Genomic DNA, 10,610 nt, shown 5'->3' on the forward strand with positions numbered 1-10,610 from the left:
CCTTAGCAACATAGAGAGACCTTGTCTTTACAAAAATCAAAAACAAAAACAAAACACTGAAAAACACAGCAAGAAGTGCATTTGCTTTGACAGCTATGTTCTGGGAATAAATAATAGTTGTCAGGGACGATAAAATGTAGCTCTCTTTTCATTAAACCTAAGTTTTGCCTAGAAATCACATATATGTTTATATATTATATATTTAAGTAAGAAAAAAACCCTTTTGACCTCTTTGGATATGTATTCTACATATCTACATAGCACCAGATTTTCTGAAGTGAAAAAGTAAAAGACCCTGATTTAAGTAATATATATCATTTAATGACTATAATATCTGTTTATTTTTTTAAATATTGAATTAACTCTTTCTTTCTAAAATATGTTTCATACTCCTTAGTTTTTTTCTACTCTAGGTACAACTTTTCAACCTTTTTTATATTTCAAAGTCCAGTGGTATTAAGTATGAAATGGTGCTTAACCTCAAATGTTAGAAATATAAAGCTTATCCTAAGTAGTTTCTGAAAAGATTGCAATCTGCTTGGAATTTTCTTTTTTATATATTAATTTTCATTTTTACAAGAAATCCATTGTGTTTAAATTCCCTTAACAGTACATTCAAAATCAGGAATATTACACTTTCATTGCCCATCTTTACAATTGTTATTAACTTCTCAGGGTAATTTTAAGCATTGGTAATACCTTAAATAAATTGCTTTTTGTAAACACTTAGATTATTTTTTGTGTGAGATAGTTTATTATATTTACCATTTCCTACAGCTTAGAAATAAAACTGAGTCACTATTTCACATTACTTTTAAAGTCTTGCCACAATTTGTTTTTATAACTTAAACATAAAATTTGAATTTAGGGTGAGCTGCATAAATAGCCAAAAGAAAAGAAAGAAGAGAATACTCTGACTTATTTACTTTGAAAAATCAATTGCATATACATGTGTGTATATGTATATATACACACACAGATACACATAAAAACACACTGGATGAGATGCTGGCAAGAAGTACAGAATACCTCATTAATTAAAAGGATTTTTTTTGCATGTGTCTCAGGCATCATAAATTTACCAATGTTCTAATTATATCTATATGATTTGTATATGTACATATAAATTGGGTTACATATATATTTTATATGCATATATACATATGTATACATATATGTATACTTATACATATGTACATATATGTATACATAAATAGAAGTATGTATATATAAATGTATATATACATACATTTATATGTATAAATGTGTACATATATGTGTAATATGTATATATAGATGTGTAATATGTATATGCACATATATGTGATACATATGTGTGTATACATGTATGTGCAATTTTATGTGTGTATGCATACATACTATATATACATACATAAAACATATGTATGTATAATATGTATATTTATAAAGTACATATATATGCATATGTATGTAACTCAATAATGTTTCTAAAAGTGACTGTTACCATAAGCTGTGACTTTTCAAAATGTTGTTTGGTTTCCTGAAATATGTACATAAAAGCACCCAATTTGCTTAATGAAAAATCCTGAGCCTTACTTCAGACTTACTGAGTTAGTTTTGTAGGGATGAGACTCACTCGGAAATCTGCTTTTACAAAATACCTGATGTTCATTTTGGAAAACCTCCTAGAGTAAATACCGTAGTTACAGTGTTATTCAGTTTGAAATCTATCATATTATTCAAAACATGAACACTCTTAAATTATAGCACTTTCATTCCCATTTGTAAATCATTGTTATTAAAAAGCCTGAATATCTGGAGCCTGCAGTGAGCCGAGATCGTGCCACTGCACTCCAGCCTGGGCGACAGTGCAAGACTCCATCTTAAAAAAAAAAAAGCCTGAATATCTTAAACCATGGACAAACAGTATAAATTTGCTTCCATCCACTGAAGAAAACAGAAGCTAAAGGGTTCTGATAGGCTGGACTAATCTACAAATATTGTTGCTAAAGCTGGCTAGCTATTTGGAATAAAAAGTCACCTTTCTATCTCACTGCTTCCCAAATTGATACAATATAGAAAATAGCCTAAATGTAAAAACAAGAAATAAAGCTACAAAAAAATTAGCATACATGGGAAAAAAATTGATATTGGGCTAAGAAAATCCTGAATTCTCAAATGCTGAAAGCAAGGAGGAAAAGATGATAGATACATTTGATTACATCAAAATATCTGGTATAGCAAGATGATATAAACAAAAGTGTAACAAGCAACAGACAAAATATTTGTAACCTGTTTAATTTTGTAAGGGCTAATAAGGGGTATTAAGAAAACTAAGAAAAGAAACAAAAGATGTAAAACAAGTATTTTATGGAAGAGGCAAGTCTTAGGAAATGTTTTATAAACTCAATAAAGTAAGGTGTTATTAGATTCACAAAGAATGTGTAAGGTTGATTATATCTCTGATATTTGTGAACATACATAGAAAAATAGGTATTCACAATCTACCATTAGACTAAATTTATTTTAATAATTACTACCAAGATTCCCTGCAAAATTGCTATTCAGTTTACACTCTTAGTACGTGTCTTGCCAAGAAGAGGAACTGTTACTGTGGGGAAATAGAATTAAAAACAAAATCCCTTTCCAATACATAAAACTTCTTCACAAAGACAGAATAGAAAGGAAGTGGTTTTATTATTGAATAAGTACTAAAGCAGAATGTGATATGCACTACAGGGAATACTGTAAGACACTGCAAAGATGGAAATCTTATTCTTTTTATGACCCACAGATTCAATACATTACATACATGTTGTCAAGCTAATCTAGTGCTTAATCAAATAACAGTCATTTTCTATGCAGAGTTCATTTTAAATTCACTTGGTAATTGAGATGATGATCTGTGTTAACCAGCTGGCTTTATCTAAAGGAAAACTCAACTTCTTATATCTTTATGCCAGATGGTAGATTTGCAACTTGGTGCCAGGTGCCCAGCAAGGTTAGGCTCCTACCCTCCTACAGAAACTGGGAGATAGGGCCACTGTCTTCCTACATTTCAAAGAGATGGTACTCCCCGGCCCCAGAGAAAGCTAGAAAGAGGGTAATTTAGTTTTTTGTTTGTTTGTTTGTTAATTTTATTTTATTATTATTATACTTTAAGTTTTAGGGTACATGTGCACAACGTGCAGATTTGTTACATATGTATACATGTGCCATGTTGGTGTGTGCACCCATTAACCCATCATTTAGCGTTAGGGATTTAAAAAAAAAAACAACTTATTCTCGATTCAATCAACTGGAATAAAGGGTATCAGTGATGGAAGATCAAATGAATGAAATGAAGCGAGAAGTTTAGAGAAAAAAGAATAAAAAGAAACGAACCAAGCCTCCAAGAAATATGGGACTATGTGAAAAGACCAAATCTACGTCTGATTGGTGTTCCTGAAAGTGACAGGGAGATTGGAACCAAGCTGGAAAACACTCTGCAGGATATTATCCAGGAGAACTTCCTGAATCTAGCAAGGCAGGCCAACATTCAAATTCAGGAAATACAGAGAATGCCACAAAGATACTCCTCGAGAAGAGCAACTCCAAGACACATAATTGTCAGATTTACCAAAGTTGAAATGAAGGAAAAAATGTTAAGGGCAGCCAGAGAGAAAGGTCTGGTTACCCAGAAAGGGAAGCCCATCAGACTAACAGCTGATCTCTCGGCAGAAACTCTACAAGCCAGAAGAGAGTGGGGGCCAATATTCAACATCTTAAAGAAAATAATTTTCAACCCAGAATTTCATATCCAGCCAAACTAAGCTTCATAAGTGAAGGAGAAATAAAATACTTTACAAACAAGCAAATGTTGAGAGATTTTGTCACCACCAGGCCTGCCCTAAAAGAGCTCCTGAAGGAAGCACTAAACATGGAAAGGAACAACCGGTACCAGCCACTGCAAAAACATGCCAAATTGTAAAGACCATCAAGGCTAGGAAGAAACTGCATCAACTAACGAGCAAAATAACCAGCTAACATCATAATGACAGGATCAAATTCACACATGACAATATTAACCTTAAATGTAAATGAGCTAAATGCTCCAATTAAAAGACACAGACTGGCAAATTGGATAAAGAGTCAAGACCCACCAGTGTGCTGTATTCAGGAAACCCATCCCACGTGCAGAGACACACATAGGCTCAGAATAAAGGGTAATTCAGTTTTTAAAAAGATGTGCATGCATTTCAAAGAGACAAAGAACTTGAAAGGTTTCTAATGTAGATATTCTCAGAAAAGGGTGAGTGAGGTTTGGGATGGGCAGCTGGGAGAATCTCTTTTCTTATTTTCACCAGAGAGAATTAAGCCTCTTATTTTTTATTTGTATTTGCCCTTACTGTCAACACTACATATATATCTGTGTGTACGAGGAGGATAGAGAAGTCTGTTCACTGCAGCATTGCTCGTATATACGTCATGCAAAATTAAAACTTGGAAAGAACTAAATGCTCATGTATAGGGGAGAAATAAAGTGGACAATTACATATCCATACTAGGAGATACTGTGCAGCAGTATAATAACATTTATATAAAAACATGTATAAGAATTTTAAGGCTTTGTAACCATTTGGAAAGATACATACCAAATTCCTGATGGCAATTGTAGAGGACTGGAATTGGGAATGTTGGTCAAGGCCGACTTTAGCTTTTTAGATAAAGTTTACATATTATGGCAATGTATTATAGTTGACAATTCATTTTACACTGGTCACTGTGTTTGCTACACTATACTGAAAAGGAGAATTCCCATTTGGAACTTGATGCTTTATAAAAATAACTGGTTTGAATTATCTTACATTTTATTAGATTTAATGACATCAATGATTTTGTGCTTTTTAGATTTCGCATATATCAGTTAACTTCTTTAAGATAAATAGCTGGAATTATCAGCTCAGTAAAAATGTCCATTTGCATGGTTGAATTTGTTGTTGCTCACTGTAGTCATTGTTTAAGAATAGATAACTGAGCAATTTAAAGAACAGGCTTTATATAGATATAAAATCATATCAACTACCCATTTCTTCTACATAGATTTCTGTTTTGAAAGATGAGCATATAACAGCATGATTCTTCTTATTTCTAATTCATCAACTAATGTGTATATGTGGAAGGAGGAGAAGGAAGTAGGAGTATGGATGATAGAGTTTGGAGTTACATATAAAGTATTGCTGATACTTTTTATATATTAGTTATTCAATCTGCTGCCTCTGAAAAGTCACTTGAACACCACCTAGTATTGTTCCACAAGTCCATCAGCATTTTCCAAATCAAATCCATTATCTTAAGATCTTTCCACTGCTAAATATTCCCTAGAGGATAGTTTATATATTATAATTTAAATAAATTATGATTCTATTCACTCCAAGATAACATATAATGGTATATTTTCATGGTATAATTATTTTGCTGAATTTTTTGAACCACATTAAATTTATAGCTGCCATTTCCCTCCCTTTATATAAACTTTGATTTTGAGTCTTTAGTGTATCGTTAGTCCTGCTGTTAAATTGTGACTTGGGAGCCTACAAAACTTTAAAGGAATAAAGCAAGTGTTTTAGATAAAGTCTTATAATAATGTTGGTGGACTCTTGCTTCAATTTTAATTCAACATACTGTTTTATTTGTCATCTGGGGTTAAAGAACAATACCTGTGGAATTCTTTATTTTATTGATTATAAGCTTTTAGATAATCTCCAAAAACTTTTCTCTTATAGAAATTTTGTGCTGTAAAGTACCATAGTACTCCTGTGCTGGTGATTCAGAATAATTTTAATAGCTTGGAGTAGAATCTAATTTTTCATAGCATAACACCTTTAAAAATTGAATATATACTCTAGGCTGTTTGTGGTACCACCTGAGAATATTTCTATCCAATCCTGTTTAACAGGATGATGATTTAGTGATAAATTCAATACACATTGCTAACAATGTAGAATATGTGCAGTAATTGACCTTATCCAGAAAGCAGTTACGGTTAAAATAGAAATTTTATGACAGGATTCATATGTAAGCCAGTCCTCAGGTACACACAATGCTAAGCATATGACATTCTCAAGTAATGGTCACTGCTACCCCAAAATGAGCTTATGTTCAAACATTTAAAGAAACATTTCAGTATAAGATTAAGGTTGATTAGGCTAGGCGTGGTGGCTCCCGCCTGTAATCCCAGCACTTTGGGAAGCCAAGGCGGGTGGATCATGAGGTCGGGAGATCGAGACCATCCTGGCCAACATGGTAAAACCCTGTCTCTACTAAAAACACAGAAATTAGCCAGGCATGGTGGTGTTCACCTGTAGTCCCAGCTACTCAGGAGGCTGAGGCAGGAGAATCGCTTGAACCCAGAATCTGGGAGGCAGATGTTGCAGTGAGCGCAGAGATGGCGCCACTGCACTCCAGCCTGGGTGACAGAGCAAGACTCCGTCCCCCCAACAACAACAAAAAAAAAATTAAGGCTGATTACTGAATCAATGCTAAATTTAATATGTTCCAATATTTTTCATGCATTTATATATTAAAATATTCATTTTTTCCCACTCTACATTTTTAACTACAAAGGGAGCATGAAATAAATACTTCACTCTGTAGCAGACTTTTCAGGTATTTCACAACTGAATGAAAGTCTTCAAAGATGAATTTACTCCATGTATATTTTAAGATAGCCCTAGACGGAGTGAGTTAAGCTGAATCCTGAGTACATGGAATCCATTGCTATACCCAGCTCCTTTAATTCATTGTTATTTATTGCTGTCCTGACTTGTGAGTGCAGACAGAGTCTGATGTGATAACTTCTTTTCAAAGCTGTGGACGTTCATGGACACGAACTACCACTGAAATATCAGCACCCAAATGCTGTACTTGTAATTCAGAGAAGACAACTAAAGGTTTATTTTCTCCTTTAATTCACCATGCAATAAATGAAATCAATAGAGAAAGAAGAGAAGTTAATACCTTCTTTTCTCATTAATGAGCTGGACAAGCTTCCAAATGACTACCTCTAGTAGTGATATTTTTGGAACTGCATACAATGAGAGTCTGTCTTTTAACCTTTACTAAATGACATATTTGTAAGTGCATGTTTGAAGCCCTCTTGTTCTTTTAAAATCAAGGTTAATCATGAACTTGAAGGTAAAAAGAAACATCATCTGTCAAATGAAGTTGTCTATAAGTGTCACCCACTCACGTTGCTTATGTTAGAGAAAAAATTTTAGTAAGATCCCACTAAGTACTTAGATGCAATTTTTCATTCTCTTCCCAGCCTGCATGTTGTAAGTGAAATATCCAATATGTCATGGCTGGTTAATTCTTCTCTAACCTTTGTCTTAGGTGTCACTTTAAAATGTGGGAACTCAATATTTCTAAAACAGAATTGGTATCTTAGTCCATTTTCTTCTAGCTTATAACAAAATACCCCAAACTGGGTAATTTATAAGAAAAAAAATATTACTTACAATTCTGGAGTCTGGGAAGTCCAGGGTCAAGGGGCTGCATCTGGTTTGGGTCTTCTTGCTAGCGAGGACTCTCTGTGGGGTCCTGTGGTAGTGAAGGACATCACATAGCAAGGGAGCTGAGCATGCTATTCCAGGCCTCTCTTCCTCTTCTTATAAAGCCACCAGTCCCACTCCTGTGATAACTCGTTAATACATTAATCCATGGATCACCTCTTAAAGGCCCATCTCTCAATACTAACACCTTGGGGATTAAGTTTCAACATGAATTTTGGAGATGACAAACATTCAAACTATAGCAATTATTATATACCTTCAATATTGGTCTGTTCAGGATACCAAAAAACCCACAAAAACCAATACACAGGATCAAAACAAAAATTTAGTTTTTTGAAATAAAAAAATTGATAGATCACTAGCTAGACTGAACAAAAAAAAGAATTAAATAAGCACAATTAGAAATGATAAAGGTGACATTGCAACTGATACTGCAGAAATAGAAAAGATCATTAGAGACTACTGTGAGTATATCTACATACAAACTAGAAAACCTAGAGGAAATTGATAAATTCCTGGACACATAAAACCTCTCAAGATTGAATTTTTTTAATGAAACAATTATTTAAAAATGAGACTTGCGAGAATCAGGAGCATACAGCAGATCCACCCTGTTATGGGTTGAATTGTGTTCCCCTAAAAGACATGTTGAAGTCTGATGTGCTTTGGCTGTGCCCCCACCCAAATCTCATCTTGAATTGTAGTTCCCATAATCCCTATGTGTTGCAGGAGGTAGCCTGTGGGAGATAATTGAATCATGGGAGTGGTTTCCCCCATACTGTTTTCATGGTAGTGAATAAGTCTCACAAGATCTGAGGATTTTATAAGAGGAAACCCTTTTTGCTTGATTTTAATTCTGTCCTACCTGCTGCCATGTAACACGTGCGTTTTGCCTTTCACCATGATTGTGAGGCCTCCCCAGCCACGTGGAACTGAGTCTATTATTTCTTTACAAATCACCCAGTCTTGGACTTGTCTTTCTCAGCAGCATGAAAACAGACTAATACACAGTCCCAACCTCCAGTACCTCAGAATGTGATCTTATTTGAAAATAGCGTGGTTTTTTAATGATCACCATTCTAACTGGTGTGAGATGGTATGTCATTGTGGTTTTGATTTGCATTTCACTGATGGCCAGTGATGTCATGAAACAACAGGTGCTGGAGAGGATGTGGAGAAATAGGAACACTTTTACACTGTTGGTGGGACTGTAAACTAGTTCAACCATTGTGGAAGACAGTGTGGTGATTCCTCAAGGATCTAGAACTAGAAATACCATTTGACCCAGCCATCCCATTACTGGGTATCTACCCAAAAGATTATAAATCATGCTGCTATAAAGACACATGCACATGTACATTTATTGCGGCACTATTCACAATAGCAAAGACTTGGAACCAACCCAAAAGTCCATCAATGATAGACCGGATTAAGAAAATGTGACACATATACACCATGGAATACTATGCAGCCATAAAAATGATGCGTTCATGTCCTTTGTAGGGACATGGATGAAGTTGGAAACCATCATTCTGAGCAAACTATCGCAAGGACAGAAAACCAAACACCACATGTTCTCACTCACAGGTGGGAATTGAACAATGAGAACACCTGGACACAGGATGGGGAACATCACACACTGGGGCCTGTTGTGGGGTGTGGGGAGGGGGGAGGGATAGCATTAGGAGATATACCTAATGAAAATGATGAGTTAATGGGTGCAGCACACCAACATGGCACATGTATACATATGTAACAAACCTGCACATTGTGCACATGTACCCTAGAACTTTAAGTATAATAAAAATAAATAAATTAAAAAATTACAGTGTTAGTAGACCCCTCCTAAAAAAAAAGAAAATAGGGTGGTTGCAGATGTAATTAGATAAGATGGGGTCATACTCATGTAGCTTGGCCTCCTAATATAATATGACTGATGTCCTTACTAAAAGGTGGCTATTTGAAGACATAGATAGGGAGAACATGTGAAGACAGAGGATTAGAGTGATTCAGCAACAAATCACTTGTCAGATTGCTGACAAACCACCATAACCTAAGAAAAGGCAAGTATAAAATTTTCTGCAGATTTTTGGGGAAGCGTGGTCTTGCTGACATCCTTTGTCTTGGACTTCTAGCCTCCAGCACTTTGAGACAATACATTTCTGTTGTGATACTTTGTTGCAGTAGCCCTAGAGAATGAATACATCCCCAACACCAGCTCTGCTTCTTTTATAGTTCAGGAAAAATGCTGAAGTGGAAAAATATATCACAAAAACTAAGGTTAAATTAGAAGCAGTACGAAAGAGAATAGACTATTGAAAACACAGTAAGTGATAGAATGGTGCTATAGTTTGAATGTCTCCTCCAACATTCACATTGAAATTTAATTTCCAATATAACTGTATTTGGAGGTGAGGCCTTTAAGAGGTGATTAGGTCATGATGGCTTGTCATCATTACAGGATGGGTTAGTTATTGCAACACTAAGATTGTTATAAAAGAGAGTTTGTCCTGATTTCTCCTCTCTCTCTCTCACACACACACACACACACACACACACACACACACACACACACACGGACTCACTTCTCCTTTCCACCCTTTGGCCATGTGATGATGCTTCTCTCTCTTCTCTCTCTTTCTCTCTCTCTCTCTCTCTCTCACACACACACACACACACACACACACACACACACACACATGGACTCACTTCTCCTTTCCACCCTTTGGTCATGTGATGATGCTTCTCTCTCTTCTTTCTCTCTCACACACACACACACTTGCTTCTGTCTTCCACCCTTTGGCCATGGGATAATGCTTGTCATGCTCATAGGCTTCCCACCCTTTAAAACTCTGAGCCAAATAAACTTCTATTGTTTATAAATTACCCAGTCTGTGGTATTCTATTGCAGCAGCAGAAAACAAACTGAAACAGATGAAAAAGACACAGTAGCGCAATGCAAACAAACCAAAAAACAAGCACAAATATCAAACAAGGAAGATAGCAAAGACTTGGAACCAACCCAAATGCCCATCAATGACAGACTGGATAACGAAAATGTGGCACATGTGCATC

The sequence above is a fragment of the Homo sapiens genome, chromosome 6 (genome assembly GCF_000001405.40).
Source record: "Homo sapiens chromosome 6, GRCh38.p14 Primary Assembly".
Classification (NCBI taxonomy): domain Eukaryota; kingdom Metazoa; phylum Chordata; class Mammalia; order Primates; family Hominidae; genus Homo; species Homo sapiens.